The 21,752-nt window shown below is 37.3% G+C and overlaps 1 protein-coding gene across 1 annotated transcript in view; it reads right to left on the bottom strand.

The window, feature by feature from the left end:
* Positions 1–21,752, bottom strand: part of SYNPR (synaptoporin) — a 416,321-nt gene that overhangs the window by 363,160 nt on the left and 31,409 nt on the right. The window contains exon 2 of the mRNA XM_017005731.1: positions 1,179–1,266. Within this exon, the coding sequence (XP_016861220.1) occupies positions 1,179–1,266 (88 nt within the window). The remainder of the gene's footprint in view (positions 1–1,178; positions 1,267–21,752) is intronic.

Below are 21,752 nucleotides of genomic sequence, written 5' to 3'. Positions count from 1 at the left end.
GAATCGCCACACTGACTTCCACAATGATTGAACTAGTTTACAGTCCCACCAACAGTGTAAAAGTGTTCTTATTTCTCCACATCCTCTCCAGCACCTGTAGTTTCCTGACTTTTTAATGATCGCCATTCTAACTGGTGTGAGATGGTATCTCATTGTGATTTTGATTTGCATTTCTCTGATGGCCAGTGATGATAAGCATTTTTTCATGTATCTTTTATTTAAAAATCTTATACATCAATATTTTTAAACAAATACAATATATAGAATGCTGCTATAAATCAGTTAGGCTTATTTTTAACAGACTAGGATTTATTCATCAAAATTATTATTTCAAGGTAGTCTTTAGGAAGGCAATGCAGTTGTCCAAATGATGCTACAGTTGTTTAAAACATTCAAGAGTTTGTTTTGGAGGATATGACATTGTTTCCTTCAGAGCTTGGAGAACAATCATGTTTTGTAGTTACTATATATGTATTTTTTTTTACTGTGAATTTATTATCCAAATTGAGTGACTTTCTTATTTACCATACTTGACTCTAAATGGCCTTTAGCTGCTATTAAAATTTAAATCCACCCTCAAATGGTGATTATTTGGCATCTGAACATTCAAAAGAATGTGCCATAAACTCTAAAAACAGTTCTATAAATGGACTTGCCAAATATTTTCAGTGGTTTAGAATAACTGAAAAAGAAAAATGGAACTATTCTTTTTTTTTTTTTTTTTCTGAGACAGAGTCTCACTCTGTCACCCAGGCTGGAGTGCAGTCACATAATCTCAGCTCACTGCAACCTCCACCTCCCCATTTCAAGCAATCCTCCCACCTCAGCCTCCCAAGTAGCTGGGACTACAGGCGAGCGCTACCATGCCTGGATAATTTTTGTATTTTTAGTAGAGACAGTTTCACCATGTTGGCCAGGCTGGTCTTGAACTCCTGACCTCAGGTGATCTGCCCTCCTCAGCCACCCAACGTGCTAAGATTACAGGCATGAGCCCCTGTGCCCAGCCTGAATGGAACCATTCTTATCTGCATATATAAATTCTGGTGATTTGCTCAGTGTCCATTAACTGCATGCATGACCATATGCTAGGGGGTATGAAAACGCAGGATTTTGTGCAGCTTTTCAAATCATGCCTCCTTGTTCTGTTATCAGCACATTTTTAGAAATGTTTTCTGTACCTTTGTGGTGAGAGAAGTTGCATGTCCACGCTTACAGGAATGATGAAGGAAAGTTTTCCTTAAAGGCGCAGTGTAACACTCTTTGTAACTGAAAAAAGAAAACGAAATTAATTCTCTCTGGCAGATTTATGCTACAGCCAAAAAATATTTAAGACACAATGTTTTCATCCTTTATTCTGAAATTATAGAAATAAATGCTTCATAAATGGAATTCAAATTCAATGTAATGGATCACTAAACATGATGTAAAGACAAGAAGGATATTTTATTATGTATTATAAAAGGAATACGTGATTTTAGTTTATAAGAAACCTTTATAAAATAATATGAAATGAAACATCTCAGTCTCTAGAGAAATTCACAGTTGACTGTGTCATTCATATCCTTGAAACATTTAGAACACATAGCATTTTTCTGCAAATAGAATACACATTATTCAAATTGTTCTTCACCTTGTCTTTTTTAATTTAAAATTTATCTTGCAGATCTTTTATATCAGAGTATATTTACTTGCCTCTTTATTTTTAATAGATACATAATACTCCATGGTACCCCCATACCATGGAGTATTATGTATCTATTAAATTGATAGAGACTATCTCATTTCACTAACTCAAGTATGGAAGACATTTAATTGCCTTTATTTTTCTTTTACTCAACCTGATTTTATCTTAGGATTCTATTCTCCTGAGTAGTCAAAACGTGATCTGTGTGAGTTCAGGGTTTTCCTTCATGGCATTTGTCTGAGTTACCTGAGGTTTATATAGAACAGAGGGTATAGGGCATGAGTATGGCATCTTCTCCTTGGTTGTTGTCTTTCCAAGCAGACGGATGCAGAGGTGTGTATTGTCCTATCTGGTCCTCGGTCACTGATTACGTAGATCTTTGCTGATCATCCCGGGATCGCATTTCAGTCCTGTCAGAACCTGCAGATCTCTTTGATATGTCTACGTTGCTCTCAGACACAGGGAATTACTCTGCCATGCTGGATTTGGGGGAAATCTTGCAAGCTCTGTCAGATTTTAGTTACACCACACAGCTCTTCCTACTCTATTCTTTCAGCATTATGTCAGGACACTGCCAAAATTGTGGATCTTGTCATTTTCCAGGCAAAAACAAGAAGCAAGTTTTCTTTTCTCTCAGACTTCATTACCTCCCACTCTTGAACCCCTGAATTCAGTCTTAAATTGAAGGCTCCTTTCTGGGGCACATATATGCTTTCCTTCTAACTCCTCTTCTCCCAACCCAGGGATTTTTTTTTTGATACCAGGATTATTTTTTTATTTAGCAATATGTCTTAGAGACTTTTTCGTGGCAGGACAATAAATCTGTCCCCATCTTTTGGGCAGCTGCTTAATATTCTATTGTGTGGAATTTCATGCATATTTATTTCTTCTTTCGTCCTTCAATTTCCTTGTTTTATTTTTGCTTTCTTTAATTTTTTTCTCTGAACGAAACAATATAGATGCAGAAAATGTACCCAGTAGTACAAAGTTCAAAATATGTGAAATAAAAAGTAAATTTTTCCTTTCTGTCCCACTCCCCAGAGACCACAACTTTTAACAGTTTCTTATTTTTGTTCTTTTGGTGGTTTCTATTGTAATTTTAAGTGTTATGCTTCTATTTACTTTTAAGTCTTTATCAAAATACTAGTTTCCATAGCTAAAAAAAAGAAAACAGCCAAAAAAATACTTATAATGAGTAACATTAATTTAATGGGTCCATAGGATGGATCAGAAGCTTAAACACATGCTCAGCACATCATCTTGAACCAAAAGTCTGAGTAGGCAGGTTGACATCATGGTTAACGTGAACTCTACAGGCAGTCTGAGTTGTAATTCTGGCTCTGTCACTTTCTGACTGTGCAGTCTTGGTCTCTGTGAGACTCATTTTCCTCATCTTTAAATTTAAGCTAAAATCATACCTAGCTTATAGAGTTTTCCTCAATTAAAGAAAATGTTTTGTGTAAAATACACCAAAATTTGGATTCCACTTATGGCACCTACTAACCACATGTTGACCATGTCACCTTAGACTTGTTCTCAGACATCATTAAAACTGGGACTCGTAAGAGCTCTCTCCCAAAAAGTTGTGTGAGGATTCCCTTAATGAAATATGGATATGTAAAAGTGCCTGGTATATAGCAGGCACTTCAGAAAGGCTAGTTTCTATTTTTCAGTCCTGTTAGGAATGAATAATTGCCCCAGGCGTGGAGATCTTGGATAATTTTATTTTTATTTTATTTTATTTTATTTATTTTCCTTGTATTTTTAGTTGACATGTAATAATTGTACATATGCATGAGATACTGACTGGTATTTTGATACATGTATATCAAACCAGAGCAATTAGCATATCCATTACCTCAAACATTTACAATTCCTTTGTGGTCTGAACATTCATAATTCTTTCTTCCAGCTTTTTTGAAAATATACAATGATTTATGGTTAGCCATATTTATCCTACAATGCTATAGAACCCTAGAACCTATTCCTCCCAGCTATATGTAATTTTGTATCTGTTAACTAACTTCTCCCTATTCTCCCCTCTTCCTTACCCTTCTGGGCCAGGGAATTTTTAATCCATGGTTGCAGGTAGGTAAGTTTCTCTTATTCACTGTTCAAGCTTCCAAATATTTTCTTGATGTCAGAGTCTAGGCTTTTGGAACTCAAAAGCCAGACATTCTCTATTTATGTGTTATTTGCATTCTGCTGTGTCATTCATCCCCCAAAGCAAGGCATGCAATCAATATACCAGCTGAAAAAAATTCAAGCAAAAAATAAAAAAGCTGACATTACAGAATGTTACCTTATTACACGTATATATGTCCTATTTATGATTCCCTACAGGAAGTCACTTATGTTGTTTCCATTTTTGTTGTAATTATTTTTCCATAAGTTATTGGGGTACAGGTGGTATTTGGTTACATGAGTAAGTTCTTCAGAGGTGATCTGTGAGATTTTGTTGTGCCCATCACCCGAGCAGTGTACACTGCACATATCTGTAGTCTTTTATCCCTCGCCCCCTCCCACTCTTTCTTCTAATTCCCCAAAGTCCATTGTATTATTCTTATACCTTTGCATCCTCATAGCTTAGCTCCAATTAACATCCTTGCCCACATAGCTTAAGAATTTATGTAAGAATATAGACAATAAAAATCCTAGCATTGGAATTCCTGGGACAAAGGGTAAGTGTTTTTAAAATATTGATGAATATCACCACATCTCCCCTTCAAAAAGACTACACTATCGCAATCTTGTATAGAAGTGCCTGTCTCTCCATAGCTTCATTTTCTAGGGTTTATCACATATTTAAACTTCTTTCACTCTGATAGCTGAAAATATGATCTCTTGGTTTTCTGATTTTCCATGTCTTTAGTTATACGAGTGATTGAACATATTCTCACAGATATTCTGGCCTTTTGCGTCTTACATTCCCTGAACTCCTTACTGATGTGCAAAATGTTTTGTTACATAATCTTAAAGTGCATTAAATAGAATTTTAAAAATCATATATTTATTTACTTTTGTTTGGGAAGGCAAATTACACAGAATTTAAGGCAACTACTTCCCAGTTTCTCCTTCATTTGACAGCAACTGAATATTATATAGGGATAGGTAAAAAAAACAAAACTGAGGATGAAAAACTGAGTCACTAACACAGAGCTAACAATTATGCGTTGACAATGTTATCATATCTTCACACTGCAAATGCAGAGCTAATTCTCATCAAAATGGGATTTGTTCTAATACTCACATGATAGCAGCCATGAGAGACAGCTAACGTAATCAGTGAATGTCCCTTGAGCATGTGTAATTATGCCAAGATTCCAATAACTAATTAGCACAATGGATTTTGGTTTCAATTCAAATGTTGCAGAGCATCTATTTCACATATCTTATGTTGTCACTGTCTCAAACAGTTTCCACAACAATCGATAGAACTCCACAAAGAGAAGCTAAAAGAACACACATATAAACTTCAGAATGAACAAATGAGTACTGATTACCAACTGCATGATTAATTTTTTCTCAACACCTCGATTCTGTAGCATCTAAAATATCTGATTTCTCACTCTTTCAACCTTCTCTGTGTCCATTTATTATATTTTGTAATTCATACTTATGCATCTCTTACCCAAATTAGCATACTGTCTTCCAGCTAGAAGGCACCTTAAAATCTGAGAAACACTTAGGTTCCCTGCAACCACCACACTTCACCCGTATCTTCATCACAATTGCTACCATGTCCTGAAGCCATACCAAGTGCCAGGCAATACTGCGAGGTATTTATTGCAAGTCCTATTTTATAAATGGAGCCTCATGTTCAGAGAGGTTAAAAAAACTTGCCCAAAGTCAGCATTTGGTAAGTTGCAGAATCAGCATTAACAGGTTTTGGGGGTCTGATGAATTCTGCAGGGAACAAGGAGGGAGTTTTTAATACAAGCTGTGGCATTTCTTGGAACAGACCTTTCTGGAACTGCTACTTAATAGCTCTCAATCCCAAGGCCCCTCTGTGCATCACCTTTCCCCTGGGCAGTTAGGTATCCCTTCAGTGCTCTGGCCAGCTCTGTTTAATCCTACTTACATTGTAAGGTGGGTGAGGCAGCTTGTGTTAAATAATTCAAACACCAAGGAAGACACCATATGAGGCATCACCTGGGTTCCTGATTCTCTGCCCCATGTTTTGGCCACATTCTCTTCATGATGGAAATGGCCCTAGATGGACTCCTTTCTCTGCAGCTGCTCCTTCTTCGTCAGAAACTGCACTTCCCAGTGTTCTGACCCTTCACCTCACGGTATTTAGGCTGACTCGCTGAGAGAGCGGGTAAAATGCCTTTCCCTTAAGAGGCAGAAAGGGAAGAAATGAGGTTTGGGAAAGAAGGATTGGAAGGAGAATTAATCCAGTGGAAACAGACCAGTGGTCATCCAAGTGTTAGAGCTGGATGACGGAGCCCTTTGAAAATATCTCAAGCCAACAATTTGGGGAAAGCAACACTCTCAGGTATACATACACTGGGCGACCTTTTGGGATAGTGCCTTGCCCAGCTCAGCACACTCCATAGGCAGAGACGCCCTAACCACTGAACTTTATGCTTCATAATTCAGCTCTAAGCAAGCCTGATAGTTGAGTTCTTCCTTATCCTTACCAGAAGTAAGTCTAAAATTTCACCCAGGGATTTTAAAACATGGGGAGTAGCTGTCATCCTACTTGGAGGCTTTAGATTGAACATCCCTGATTTTATTTAATTTCCTAATTTGCAAAACCTAAGGTTCATAGAGGAAAAGCAAGTTGTGCAGGACCAGACAGGAAAAAAAAAACATTTCTTATGTAATAATAGTCAAATAGTATTTAGAAGACTGAATTTGGATCCATTTTAACATTAATGATCTATTTTATGTCTAAATGTTGCAGAAAATTTGTTTCTTAGAGAGGCATTTTTCCCCTAAAAATAGCTAACATTTATTGAACTCAGCACAATGTCAGGTATTATGCTAAACTTTTTTTTTTCCAACTTCTAAGTTCAGGGGTACATGTGCAGGATGTGTAGTTTTGCTACATAGGTAAACATGTGCCATGGTGATTTGCTGCACAGATCATCCCATCACCCAAGTATGAAGCCCATATGCTAAACTTTTTGCCTATACTATGTCATTTAATGTTTACGATAATGCTGGGAAGAAGAAAATTGTATAAATCAATATTGTGTAGGTGATAAAATAAAGGCTCAGAGATTACAAATCATTTGTAAATTGGTAATATATAAAATCTTATCCAAGTTTTGAATTCCAAAGCTCAAGCAAGTTCTCAACTACTGTGACATCCTGAGGCCCCGTACAGCATTTCAAGTATTTACAGCAAATAAAGGGCCCTGCTTCAGAGGGTTTGCATATGCTATTCCTTCCACCTGGAATGCTCTTCCTCCAAATACCTACAAGGTTTAAACTCTCACTTCAGGTCTGTGCTCAAATGTCACTTTATCAATGAGAACTTTTCTGACCACTTGGTATAAAATACCTACCCCCTGCATCTAGATTAGGAGATTCTTATCTCCTTCACTCTGTCTCATATTTCTATATAGAATTTATGATCATATCACTAGAAATAAAATCTCCATGAGGTCAGGAACCTGAATCTGTTCACTGCACCTCCAGTGCCAGAAGAGTGCCTGCTACACAGTAGGTGCTCACTAAATATTTCTAGAATGAATGTAGGGATGAATGAGTAAATAAATGGATCAAACAAGTACAATCACACCTCCAACATCAGCTCTATAAGATGTCAATAAAAGGAGTATCTGGGGGACTCCAGGGAGTTTGATTTAAAAGGTATTTGATTTTGTAAAGAAATCTAATTTAACAAAAGAATATTTAATTATGTCAGTGCCTGCTATTAAAGCATGCAAGGGGATACATTTTTTCTTTGAGCCTAGACAGCTGGGAGAAGAATGTACCAGTCTGTTCTCCTTGTCTGCCCTTGTGTTCCTTCTTTCTTGCATAGCTCTGTATATTTAAAAGTCATTGGAGGCACTTATCCTAAGAAATGTAGAAAAAGCACTTTTTTCCTTTTCATAAGCCAAACACTTATTCCCAGTGGGTAACATTTAGCAATGAAATGTTTTTGACTCCAGCACTTATCAGTGTTTCTGAAATATACAGGATAATTAAATTACTCAGAGGTCGTGCTTTAATCAGGAGCAAATTTAATGAATATTCAGACTGTTCATTGTTAGAAAATGGGAAAAGATTGTCAGAATATTCCCATTACAGAATCAAAAGTCACCCAGAAGAGGGTGCTAATGTTCTTTATAAAATATACCACACACACACACACACACACACACATACACACACACACACACACACACACACACACTCTCTCTCTCTCTCTCTCTCTCTCTCTCTCACTTGACAAAGCTTTCTTAGGTAACTGATCAATTGGCACTAACTATGTACTGAGCATTAAGTAGAAAATATAAACACAAGCAATTCAGAAAGTCAAAATCATTGCCCACTGATAGCACTAAAGTTCTTAAAAATTAGGGCAGTTTATAAAATTTACCCCAATTCTGGACAGGTTAGTTAACTGTATCACCACTGAAAATAATATATTTTCTATCACCAAAAATGCCCACCAGAGTTAATGTTGTAATATTTCATTAAAATACAAACCTTTATCAAAGCTAAGAGAAGATGAACCAAATATAAACATTTTGGCTAACATTTATTATTATAGTCAATGACAGATTTTAAATAAAAATAACATTTCTTTCATTTGATTAATTGCATATTCTTTATTCAAAGGTGTTTCTTTTGAGGGTAAATAAAGTTGATTACCAAATATTGCTTTATTGTGATTCAGGAAAAATCATATTCTAGATTCTGGTTATGTACTCCAAATGAAAACAGAGATTTGACACTGGCATCTTTTCTAGTTCACACGGTCAAAAATAAAATTTTGGAAAGAATAAAGCTTCTGCAAACCAAGTAATTCTCAAAATCCCTTTCCTTATGCTTTGGAGATGTAAGTTGAAGATAGCCATGGCAGAAAACGTCTTTCTTTTATGTTTAAAATGTATCCTAATGTCTTTTCCTTATCCTAGTTTTTCCGAGCTCCTGTTTTTATAGTTCAAGCAATTTGTATTTTGATTATTTCTTTGAAGCAGACCAGTCATGTGAACTGTACATTTTCTGTAGGCAAAATGAATGCAAATAAGAAGAGCTTTCTATGTCTGCCTAAGTGATTTTACTTAGAATACAAATAAGAAAAGCCGTGCAGACAGCGAAAGCTATTTTTACATTCCACTATTAGCTTCTAGGCATAGCAGATTTAAGAGGACATCTGTATTCCAAAAAGCTCAATAGATTGATAGTCCTAAATGAAGTTGCCATCTTGCAGAGCTTGTGGAACAGGGCTATCATTGGAAAGAAGCAGTGCCTTTGCATGAAAAGAGTCAGCTTAGTCATTCACACACAAAATGCATGCGCCATTTTCAAGCCAACACTGACTACCAAGCTCAAGTGGAGAAACACAGGCAGTTGGATGAGTTAAAGAATAGAGCAGGGATTGAACAGGCCTGTGACACCAAACAAGTCTGTCCTTAGACTAAAAGCCATTACAGCATCTCTACTCAATTCACAGATTGCAGTGAGTTGTCATCACTCGACTGTTCTCAGATCCATTCTCTGTCCTTCTCTAACTGGTTGTGTATTGCAGGAAACTACATTTTCCAGCCTCTGTTGCCTTCTGATTCCAGATGGGTTTAGCTAAGGGAAGACTCTAATGGAAGTGGGGAGAGCAGGGGAAGGATAAGATCCAGCATATCTACCCCACCTCAATCCATATTAGATACATTATCTGTGTGGCTCCAGTTCCTTCAGGTTGGTCTCTACCTCCATGGCCTCAGTTCCCACCATGCAAGCCCATCAGGTGACCTTGCCCCCTGAGCTCTGATGCTTTTCTCACTCCATTCCTAGGTTGGTGGTGGCTTCTTTGCTTTCACTAAATTCAGGGTTGCCTCATAATGCTACATGGTTCCTTAGCTATTCTATTACCTTTGTAAGCAAGTCCTTGTATTAGATTCCTTTGGTTTGAAATACTTAAAGGGCTCTTTTCCCTGATATAAGAATCTATAGTTTGTGTTATAAGAATATTTTGAAAGGACTCACCTTCCTAGCTTAGCCTGTTTTTTTGTTTTGTTTTTGTTTTTGTTTTTTTTATTCCACAGCTCCTTTAACTCAATCTGGGTGGGCAGTAAAAAACAAAAGAAAAATTGGTTAAAAACATAGCTTTTCCAGCACTTTCTATCCTTTTCATTGCACACACAAAATGACCATATACGTAATTCTGAGGAAGTTATGACAATATAATACTCCTTACATGGTTACACTGAATGCATATTTTGCATTATTATTTAAAACTCTTTAAATGGACTATCAAATGTATCAGTCAGGAAAGAAACAACCAACCTCCAAGCTACATGCTTGATAAAAGTTTGGCAGGAGTTAGCATTATTGGAAGAATCATTTATGACTCACCACTTTCAATACACTATTCCATTGTCTTTTTCCCATTGTTCTATATCTATCTGAAATAGGAATAGCAGAAGTATCTCCCTCATTAGATTGTTGAGAACACTAAATAAGACATGCTTACAATAATGTCTTGTCCACAGCAATTACTCAACAAATATTAGTTATTATTGTTGACTCTGTCTTTTGTCAGTTTAACAATCATTCTTTTGTAGAAATATGTCTTTTAATTTTGGTAGCCTTAAAATTTTTTACCTGTTTCTGATATTCTGCAGTTTAACTATGATGATTCTTCTATATGTAAGCTTGTTTTTCTTTGTGCTATTTAGAGTTTAGGGTGCTCCTTGAATCTTAGAATTGATTACTTTTGTCAATTCTGGACAATTCTTGATTATTTTCTCTTCTAACATTAGATATCATATATTCACTTTACTCTCTCTCCCTAGAATTTCCATTAGACATATATTAGATGCTGTCTTCCTATTTTCTGCCTTAACTTCCCTTGCTTTTTCTTCTCTTCCATATTCTAGGTCATTACCTTGGATCTATATTCTAATATGTACATTTTTCCTCATGGGTATATGCGCTATTGTTCAACCAGTTAGCTGATCTTTTCTTTCAGTGAGTTATAATTTTTATTTTCAGATTTCCATTTCATTCTTTCCCATTTTTCAAACCTGTACTATTCATACTGTTTTGTGCTTGTTTTATCTTTTCTATTTCCTTTTTTACCTATTTAAACATCTTAAAAATAAAGTCTTTTTCAGATAATTCTATTTGTTCTTATTAGTGTGCAAATTCTTCCTTTTGGTTGCAGCATTTCACTCCTCATCCAGCAATTCACTTCCTTTCATGTTTTGAATCTCCAACCAGGGGCTCATCTTTAGCTGAGACTGATTTCTGTGTGTAGTCTGGGTTTTGGAGATATGAAGTATCTCTACTGGGTGACTTTGTCTCTTCTGAGGGTCTGTGAGTTTCACTCATTTGAAGTCAGTTGATTTTTCCACCAGGAGTTTCTGTTCCATACTAGTGGTGTTAATTCACACCTGTTCATTCACATAGTGATGGGTTCACATTTCCAAGGTTAATTTTTTCTAGCCTCAACCCTGGATATATAGCAAGTTTTCTTGCTGCTTCCCCTAGCTGGTCGGGGCAGAGTTTTCCCAGTCCCTAGGAGTCCTGGTTTGTTGCAAGTATCTCAGCTCTAGTTCCCTGTATAAATAGGACCTGTGTCCTGGGGTACCCTCTCGGTACAGGCATGCCAACTCCCATATCCAGCCATTAGGGCCTGTACCTGCTTCTCATAGCACTCTGATATTTTTAAGCAAAGCTCTGCTCATGTCTTTGATTTTTGAGTTTGCTTTCCATTTCTGGAAATGGGTATTTCTGTCTTTTGGTTTTGAATTTGAATTCACATTATCTTTTATTTTCTTATCTATTTTATGCATTCAGATTCTAATTAGAAGGGGTTCTTTCCTCGCTTTTATTCCTCATATTAATCATGTTGAAAGAAAAAGTATGCTTATAATTACAGAAAGATTCTTCCACAATGTATAGTTTCTGTAATTTCTGAAACATGTGAAAGGGGGTGTAGCTATAGTCCATTACCAGGAAGAAAATAATATAACTTTTAGCTGATTATGAATCCACAAGGAGTCTGTGACATGATCCAAAAACTTTTTAAATTTTCCATCAGATTATTGATTCTCTTGGTATGCTTTTGGCTGGATATAACAAAAAACCCAACTAAAATTGGCTTAAAAATAAAAAAGATAAATTTTCTTATCTAACGAAAAGCTAAAAATAGGATCATTTCAGGATTGGTTAACTGAGTGGCTCGTTATTGCCTGAGTTTAAATTCTTCATAAATCTCTTAGCTTTCCTCTTACACTTATGAGATGATTGTAGCAGTTCCAGGCGTAACAACTTTAATGTATATCAAGATATAGGAAAGGAAGGAAAATAGTTTATTTATTCTTTAGGTCTCTTTTTTTAAGTGAAAGGAAGAATTTCCAGAATTCCTGGTGGTCTTACCCCCAAATCTCATTGATTAAAAGTGCATCATATACCCATTCTCAAACCAATTAATGGCAAGAGAAATAGAATTACCATAAATGGCAAAGATCAAATTAGTCTCATTCTGGGGTTGGTAAGAAGTCCAGGCTTCCCTGAAGCACAAGGCTGCCCAACAACTGAACAATATCAGGAACCTGTTACCTTGGTAAAGAGGAAATAGCTGTTGGGTAAAGAGCCAATAATATTTGCCATTTTCACCTTTCACCTTACTCAGAGTCAGTGTTAGGGGAGAATACGGAGGTCCATTCTCTGGTCTCCTTGACCTCTCCATTTGCCATCCCTCTTTCCTCCTTTGACCTTTCCAACGCAAGCTCCTGCTAATGCTCTTGAGCAAGGTGGGAGACTGCAATTGTTTCTGTCTCTGTCCTGTAACGGTGAAGGTGGATCCTGATAGTGGGTACCTTCTTACAGCCTGTGCAAAGCATGGATTTTTTTTTTAATGTCTTCAGACTGAATTACCTATAAGATAAATAAGGGTCATTTTACTATCCTGCTTTAGAACTTGGTCTTTCTGATGTTCCATGGCGCTGTCAAAAGATGCATGCATGGGTGTGGTCAATGGGGAGAATACAAAGTCTCATGGCACAGTGGGATTCTACCACAGGGCAATTAGCTGGTGATGTGCTGGCATGAATGGAGCAGAGTTTCCTCCTTGTATAGACTGGAGTCCCAGCTAGGACAGGCTGCATGACTTGTATTATGAAAAATGGGATATTCTCACTCACACAAAGAGTATGCGTGTAACTGGCAATGACTCCAGCACAGTGCAGGTCATGGCCCTTGCAATAATGTCCTTCGCAATGATGGATATCTCCCTTCATTCACAGTGCATGTTATGAGTTACAGGACAATAGCTTCTTGGATAAGTCCCCTTGGGTGAAGTAATTGTCATTTATCAATCCTCTCGCTTACTCCCCCACCTCCAGACATATTGCCACACCTTATTCATTGCTCCACACAAAAGACCGGTCTCCTCTTTCATTTCCTTCTAGACTTCGGAGGCCCCCATAGCAAGAGCACAGATCATTAGCCACAGGAAAAAGCCTCTCCCTTCTCATGAGTGTAGGGAATGCTGTAACATTTTCCAGATGGTGAGAGAAAACATTTGCTTTTTTTCCTAGAATGCCGTCTATGAAGGCAAGTGCCCTGTTAAAATGGGATGGGTGCTTCTGATGCAGGAAAAAAGTAAAACATATAATAATATAATTAACTTTACAAGTTAAAGCAGATTGAATGTTTTTATCCTGTTAAATAAACCAATTTATTGTCAGTTTGAACTCTCTGTTTCTGTCTCATCAGTTTGTACTGCTTTGCATGTTAAGTCTCTAATGTGTTTTATATTTTCAAAAACTAACAAAACTCATGAGGAGTAAGGAGATAAGATACAAAGGGAAGAAAGGGATGCAGTAGATCAAATAACCTCCCCTGTCTCACATATAATCCCAGGCTAATTAAGCTGAATTACTTAGCCTTATAGAGATAAGAAGAGATAAGTAAGATTATCAAGGCCTTAAATCCATCTGATAATCTATTTCCATCTTATAAATCTTTTCATTGTTAAACAGTTGCTTGACAATGGTATGATGGGTGACAATGGTAGGATGGGTGCATGACACACTTGACAATGGTGGGATAGATGACAATGGTAAGGTGGGTGTGTGACACATTTGACAATGTTAGGATGGGTGTGTGACATACTTGACAATGGTAGGATGAGGGTATGATACACTTGACAATAAAAAGAGGGGTGACAATGGTAGGTTGGGGGCATAACACATTTCACAATGGTGAGATAGATGACAATGGTAAGGTGGGTGTGTTACACATGACAATGGTAGGATGGGTGTGTGATACACTTGACAATGATAGTATGGGTGACAATGGTAGAATGGGCACATGACACACCTGACAACGGTAGGATTGGTGACAATGGTAGGATGGGTGCCTGACACACCTGATATCCTACCATTGTTACCCATTCTACCATTGTCAGGTGTGTCATGTGCCCATTCTACCATGCACTCATGGTAAGGTGTGTGTACATGACACACTGGGCAATGGTAGGATTGGTGACAATGGTAGGGTGGGTGCATAACACACTTGACAATGATAGGATGGGTGACAATGGTAGGATGGGTGCATGACACACCTGACAATGGTAGGATGGGTGACAATGGTAGTATGGGTGCATGACACACTTGACAATGGTAGGATGTGTGTGTGACACATGTCACACTTTACTAGTCAAGGGTCAAGAAATGTAAATTTTGAAGAAACTGTGCCAGAGTGTTAGATGAAAATGTCAGCAAAGACATATGTTGAATCCACATCTATAATGAGAGTGCTAAAACAGATATCACAGCTCAGTCTCAGTTGAGAGGAGCCTGTGCACATACAACCTAATTAATGGTCAGCTCCATAGGAAGATGAAGTTTGCGTCATTTCATTATCCAAAATAATATTGCTCAATCTTGGTTGTGTTTAAACCAAAAAATCTTACTAATTCCTTTATTTTTTAAATTAAACAATACAATATTATGACTTAAAGTGTAATACAGCAATGACAATTTTAGAATCCATTCTTTAAAGATAACACAGCCTCCTCCAAGATACAGTTATACCGAATTACCCTACTACCACACATCAAAATCACTGTTATGAAATAACATCCTCACTTACTAGCTCTCTGAAATTATGCCTTCAGGGCTCTATTTTGTTTCACTTTGATCTGTATTAAATACAAATAACCACAAGAATGTCAAAACATATAAGCTCCATTAGTCATTAAAATTAAGTGAATGAATGTCAGATCTCTTCTTATTTTATATCACAGAATTAATTTAGTAGCACTAAGAAAACCGTGAAAATTTGCTTCCTATTTACAGCTCCATTTGTGTTTAACCTAACAAGAAGGTTCTCCTGTTCTGTGTTTCTGCATTCCCTACCACTAGTTTTTCATGTCTAAAAGTCATTCCAAAATTATATCTCAGCAGATGGGAGAGGGAAGGGGGACGCGGAGAGTAGAGGGTGGAGGGGAAAATAAAGGAAATGCTGAGGAGAAAAGAAAGCCCGAACCAATCAGACCCTCTTCTCTCTGGCAGGTAGAAACTGAATCACAGAAAAAAAAAATTGAATGATTTGTTCAAACTGAGTTTCTTTCTTTCATTAAAATGAAATAGGTTCATTTCTGTCAGGATAAAATGACAAAGAGTTTCTCCCTGCTCCTCTCCAACTGTGCACAACTATAAACCCTGGAAATGGCACAAGGGACAACCAAAGGTGAATGCTGAGAGATAGTAAGCAGGAGGCAAGACAGCTTCAGACCTCAGGACTTAAGGAACTACATAGTACCAGGGTGTCATGCCCCTCACTCAACTTAAGAAGCTGACCCACACATCATATCCCAACCCCTGACCTAACAAGATAAAGCATCTCAGGTTGGCTGATTTTTCCCCTAGACCAAGAAGGAGTCCCACCAACAACATCAAGCAAGTCCAGTGGCATAGGTGGGGAGGAGCAATTGAGAATTCTACCAAATATTAGCATCTGGGAGCAGCACTCTCCTTCTCTGCCAAGCCTTAGATGCTCCAACCCTCCCAGAGACACCTGAGGCCAGGCCTGGAGAAATCCCTACCAGGTCCTCAGGAAACACCAACCAGAACCAGTGGGAGCTTCTCAGGCACCATTTAAACCAAGCAGACCAAAACATCACCTCAAAAGCTCTGAAAATTAAGCTGTCATTGACATCACAGCCGACAAAACGAGGCCAAGATCTCTGTATTAAACTTAAATGTGATAAAATGAAGATTTAACTAGGACCTTGAGTCCCCTAACATAATAGACAAAATGTTCACAGTAGGATTGAAAGTCATCCGTCATACTAAGAACCAAGAACATCGCAACTTGAAGGAGAGAAGACAACCAGCCGATGCCAACGCCCACCGCGATAAATCAGGTGTTAGAATTAAATGACAAGGATTTTAAAGCAGTCATCATAAGAACGCTGTAACAACAAATTATACATTCTCTTGACGCACATGAAAATTTCAGCAAAGAAATAAAATTGTCAATTAAAAAGAACAAAATGGAAATCACAGAACTCAAAAATACAAACACACGAACAACACTCACTGGTTGGCCTCGGTGGTAGAGTGGAGATGACAGAGGATAGAATCAGTAAACTTGAGGACACAGAAATAGAATTTCACTCAATTTGAATGAGAGAGAAAATAGGCTGAAAAAATATGAACAGAATATCAGGGACCTGTAAGACAAGAACAAAATACCCTGTATATACAACATTGCCATATCAACAAGTCAAATCATGATCGTATGAATTGACATAGAAAAAGCATTTGACAAGCATCTGACCCATTTATAATAAATGTATAATAAACCCCAAAAACCTAACCCATTTATAATAAACACTGTTACCAAGTTGGGAGTAAAGGGGAATTGCCTTGATAAAGAGCATCTGTGAAAAATCTACAGCTAACATCATACTTATGGTGAAGCACTGAATGTGTTCCTCCTAACATCAGAAGTAAAGTAAGAATGTCCACTCTCACCACTCTTCTTCAACATAGTATTGGAAATTCTAGCCTCTGAAATGAGGCAAGAAAAAGAAATGAAAGGCATACAGATTGGAAAGGAAGAATTAAAACTGTTCATATTAGTGGATGACAGAATTATCTACATAAAACTCCCAAATAACCTACAAAAATACTCCTAGAACTGGAAAGTGAGTATAACAAGCTTGCAGGATATAAGATTAACACACAAAAATCACAGACATTTTTATATACTCACAATGAACACAGGAAAATCAGAATTTAAAACAATACCTCTAAAATCAAATACAATGAAATACTTAGGTGTATACTTAATATGTACAGGATGTGTATACTGAATATTACAACATGTTAACCTAGGAAATCAAAGAAGACCTAATTAAATGGAGAGGCATACCATATTTGTGTAATAAAAGATTGAACATAATAAATACATCAATTCTCCCCAAATTGAACTATAGGCTTAACACAGTCTCTGTCACAATCCCAGCAAGGTTTTTGTAGATACAGACAAACTTATGCTAATATATATGTAGGAAAACATAGGCCCTAAAATGGTTGAAAGTATCTTGATCAAAAAAAATATAGTGGGAGGAATTACTCTTCCCAATATTAAAGATTACTAGATAGCCACAGTAATCTGAACAGTGTGATATTGGTAGAGAGACTGATGTATAGATCTATGGAAAAGAATAGAGAACCCAGATCTATACCCGTACAAAAGACCCAACAAATTTTTGACAGAGGCAAAAAAGCAATGCATTGAAGGAAGAACAGACTTTTCAACAAATGGAACAAATGGTGCCAAACTAATTGGGCATCCATAAAGAAAAAAAAAAAAGAAACCTCAGCTTAATATGGCTTGTACAAAAATTAACTGAAAATGGATCATGGAGTTACATGTAAAACACAAACTATAAAACTTTTTGGAAAAAAATATAAGAAAATCTTCAGTATCCAGGGCTAGGTAAAATGTTCCTAGACTTAAAACAAAAAGCATGATTAATAAAAGAAAAATTGATAGATTGGACTTCATCAAAATGAAAAACTTTTGATCTGTTAAAAGACAAGCCCATGTGATGAGAATGAAAAGAAAGTTTACTAGACTGTGAGAAAATATTTGCAAACCTCATATCCAACAAAGGGCTAATATTTAAAATATAAAGACCTCTCAAAATAAAATTTTAGAAATGAGACCAAATAAGTGGTCGCTAAAGGTTAGGTACAGAAGGGAGTCCATGGGGGAAGGAGAGAGGTAGGAGTTATTAAAATTTTGTTTAAATCATCTCAATGCGTGGTTCAAAGACTTAGGGCCTTGCAACTAAGTGGTTAAACACACAGCTTCCTGGAGTCCCCTCAAGACCAAATCAACCATGCTATTCAAGAGTGGGGCCCAAAAATCTGTATGGTTAACAGACAATCCAGCAGATTCGTAAGCCCAGTGGAATTTGAAACCACTGTTCTAGCTCCCTAGAAGATATAGTATGGATGTGGGCATTATCATAAATCTAGTAAATTCAAGTTCTCTTTTCTTCAGCTCAAGGTTTAAAATAGGTGGACAGTAAATTCTCTAATTGTTCCGTATGAACTTCAGGATAAGGATTATGTTCCTTAGCATAGCACACAAGGCCCTCCATGGCCCAGACCCTACATCTCCAGCCAACAGGCCTGTTTCCTGTTATATTATAAACAGGAAATATGAAAGATCCTCACTGTGTTGGTGCTATTCAGTATCTCAACTGTGGTGATGCTAAATGTTGTTTTGCTTTGATCTACCCAGGTGGTAACATTGTAAAAAACTTAGTACACACACATACACACACAGATGAGTACAAATAAAAACAGGGAAAATCTTGATAAGTAGATGGTATCAATATCAGTGTCCTGAATGTGATGTTATGCTATAGTTTGCAAACGTCCTCCATTGGGGGGAGATTGTAGACAAATTGTAAAAGGATTTTTTGTATTGTTGGTGACAGTTGCACATGAATCTATACTTATCCCAATAAAAATGTCATTTAAAATATGATAGAGCCTCTCATTATTTCCTTAATACATTTTCCCCACTGCGTTAAACTATGTCATATCCTGTTAACAAATACAAAACAGCATCTTTTATGAGAAACAGCAGATTGGCACAGGCCCACTGGCCCCGAGCAGAACATGCTACTTTCTAGTAACAAAAACTCTGACTACAGGCAAGCCTTCATTTCAATAGATATTGAAAAATACATTTTGGAGCTTAGAAAGTCTACTTCTTTCATTTTTCATTTCCACACAGGGGCAGCACACCAGAATTTCTGTATAGCTGAGATTTGCTACGGACAATTCTTGTTCATTTTCTAAACTGGGGAGAATTAACCTACTGAAAGGGTATACAGCATTAGAATATGATTCATTTTCTTCCATCTTGACCCCAAAACAATGAAGGCAGCATTTCTGGGTTGGTGTGCCTGCTATGTAGTTATAAACCTTTCCTCCAGTGGGAACCCAAAGATCCAGTGGTTGTGGAAGAATGCAATCCCATTGATATGATTTGGCTGTGTCCCCACCCAAATCTCATCTTGAATTCCCACGTGTGGTGGGAGAGACCTGGTGGGAGGTAATTGAATCATGTGAGCAAGTCTTTCCCGTGCTGTTTTTGTGATAGAATAAGTCTCATGAGATTTGATGTTTTTATAAGGAGGAGTTCCCATTCACAAGCTCTCTCTCTTTGTCTGCTGCCATCCATGTAAGACGTGACTTGCTCCTCCTTGCCTTCCACCATGATTATGAGGCCTCCCCAGCCATGTGGAAATGGAAGTCCATTAAACCTCTTTCTTTTGTAAATTTCCCAGTCTCAGGTATGCCTTTATCAGCAGTGTGAAAACGGACTAATACACCCATTTCACCACACACCTAATGTATGTGCTCCAGAACAGGCTCTTGTCAGAAATAAAGTTGACATTTTAATCTTTGTTTATCTTTCTCCTGTGTCTGTCTCCTCAGTCATTTCTAAACTTAGGTAAAGAAGGAAGGGACTTTGGGTCAGGCATATAATTGGAAGGGGAAAAGGCCAATGGCAACATTTCCTAAGGCTATCTCATAACATACATACTGTTTTATTTGGATTGCATATCTATACAGGATGACTTGAGGAAAGTGGCTTATAGAGATGGAATAGGCTAAACACAGCCTGGGAGACAACTCTTAGCTCTGTCATTTATCTCAAGTTTACGTAGTATTATTCTTTTCAGTTTTACTGATAATTACTAAAAATAATGTGATGTTTCTAATCAAACTTAGGTTGAGTGCAGACATATTCCATGCAGAGTAAAAGAGCCTCTTCAAAAATGCAGAATCAATTGCATAGAATCTTTTAGGAATTCTAGAGTTCCACATGGAATTTAGTAATGGCAGTGGTATCCATATGTGGTAAAGTCAGAGTAATGGGAGTATCAAGGCCTGTTGGCTGGAGATGTAGGGTCTGGGCCATGGAGGGCCTTGTGTGCCATGCTAAGGAACATGATCCTTATCTTGAAGTTGACAAGAAACAATTAGAAAATTTACTGTCCACCTGTTTTAAACCTTGAGGTGAAGAAAAGAGAATTTGAATTTACTAGATTTATAATAATGCCCCTATCTGTACTATATCTTCCAGGGAGCTAGAACAGTGGTTTCAAATTCCATTCGGCTTAAGAATCTGCTGGGCTGTCTGTTAACCATACAGATATTTGGGCTCCACTCTCAAATAGCATGGTTGATTTGGTCTTGAGGGGACTCTGGGAGGCTGTGTGTTTAACCACTTAGTTCCAAGGCCCAAAGTCTTTGAACCACATTTTGAGATGATTAAAATTTAAACAGAACTCTCCTTACTTCTGTCCTGTGAACAAAAGATCTGAATGCACTTTCAGATGAAATTAGTAAAGTAAGTTCTAGTCACCACTAGAGGGTAGCATATCAAAATTTTTAGTTTTGAACAATTCTTTTATAAGAATCACAGTTTAAAACATTTTTAATACGATTTTTTAAAACATGGAAGTATTCAAACAAAAAGCATTCTTTGGAAAACTCTTCCGCATCTTTGTTTTTTTCTAGTTTAATCAAATGACTATATCAAATTAAAATATTTCTTCAGTTACTAACACATCCTCATTCTGGGTGATGACAGCAATTATAGGATGTTAAAGATAACTGAGCCCATTCCCGTTTTACAGACTAGGGACATGAGCTCTGAGAGGTAGCTAGCTCAAGGACTCTACACTTCACAGCACAGTTGGGCCTAGATTCCAGGTGCCCTATCAATTCAATAGTATTTCCTACAAGCCATCCTAAAAACATTAGATAATTTTGGAGGTGCTGAAGATGGAGAAAATAATTCTGCATTATCACATTTTAGTTCTTTTAATATACTCAGAATCTGGGGCAGGGCACGGTGTGGCTCACGCCAGTAATCCCAGCACTTTGGGAGGCCAAGGAAGGCGGATCACTTGAGGTCAAGAGCTCGAGACCAGCCTGGCCAACATGGCAAAAACGCTGTCTCTACTAAAAATACAAAAATTCACCGGGCCTGGTGGTGCATACCTGTAATCCCAGCTACCTGGGAGGCTGAGGCACGAGAATCATTTGAACCTGGGACGGGGAGGTTGCAGTGAGCCAAGATCACGCCATTGCACTCCAGCCTGGACAACAGAACAAGACTCTGTCTCAAAAAAAAAAAAAAAAAAAAAAAAAAAGTCAGAATCTGAAATACTCACTTGAGACAGCCCTTGAGAACTTTATGAAGTAACTCTATTTAACATCTTTCTAAATCCCATATATCCTCCTGCAGATGAAGTACCTCATATCTCCTGTGCTTTTTTCCACTGTATTAGACCAGCTCTGAGTTATAACTCTTTGATTTCTGCCTTTTCATC

Source organism: Homo sapiens, chromosome 3 (genome assembly GCF_000001405.40).
Source record: "Homo sapiens chromosome 3, GRCh38.p14 Primary Assembly".
Lineage (NCBI taxonomy): Eukaryota > Metazoa > Chordata > Mammalia > Primates > Hominidae > Homo > Homo sapiens.
This window is presented reverse-complemented; position numbering and strand designations above follow the sequence as displayed.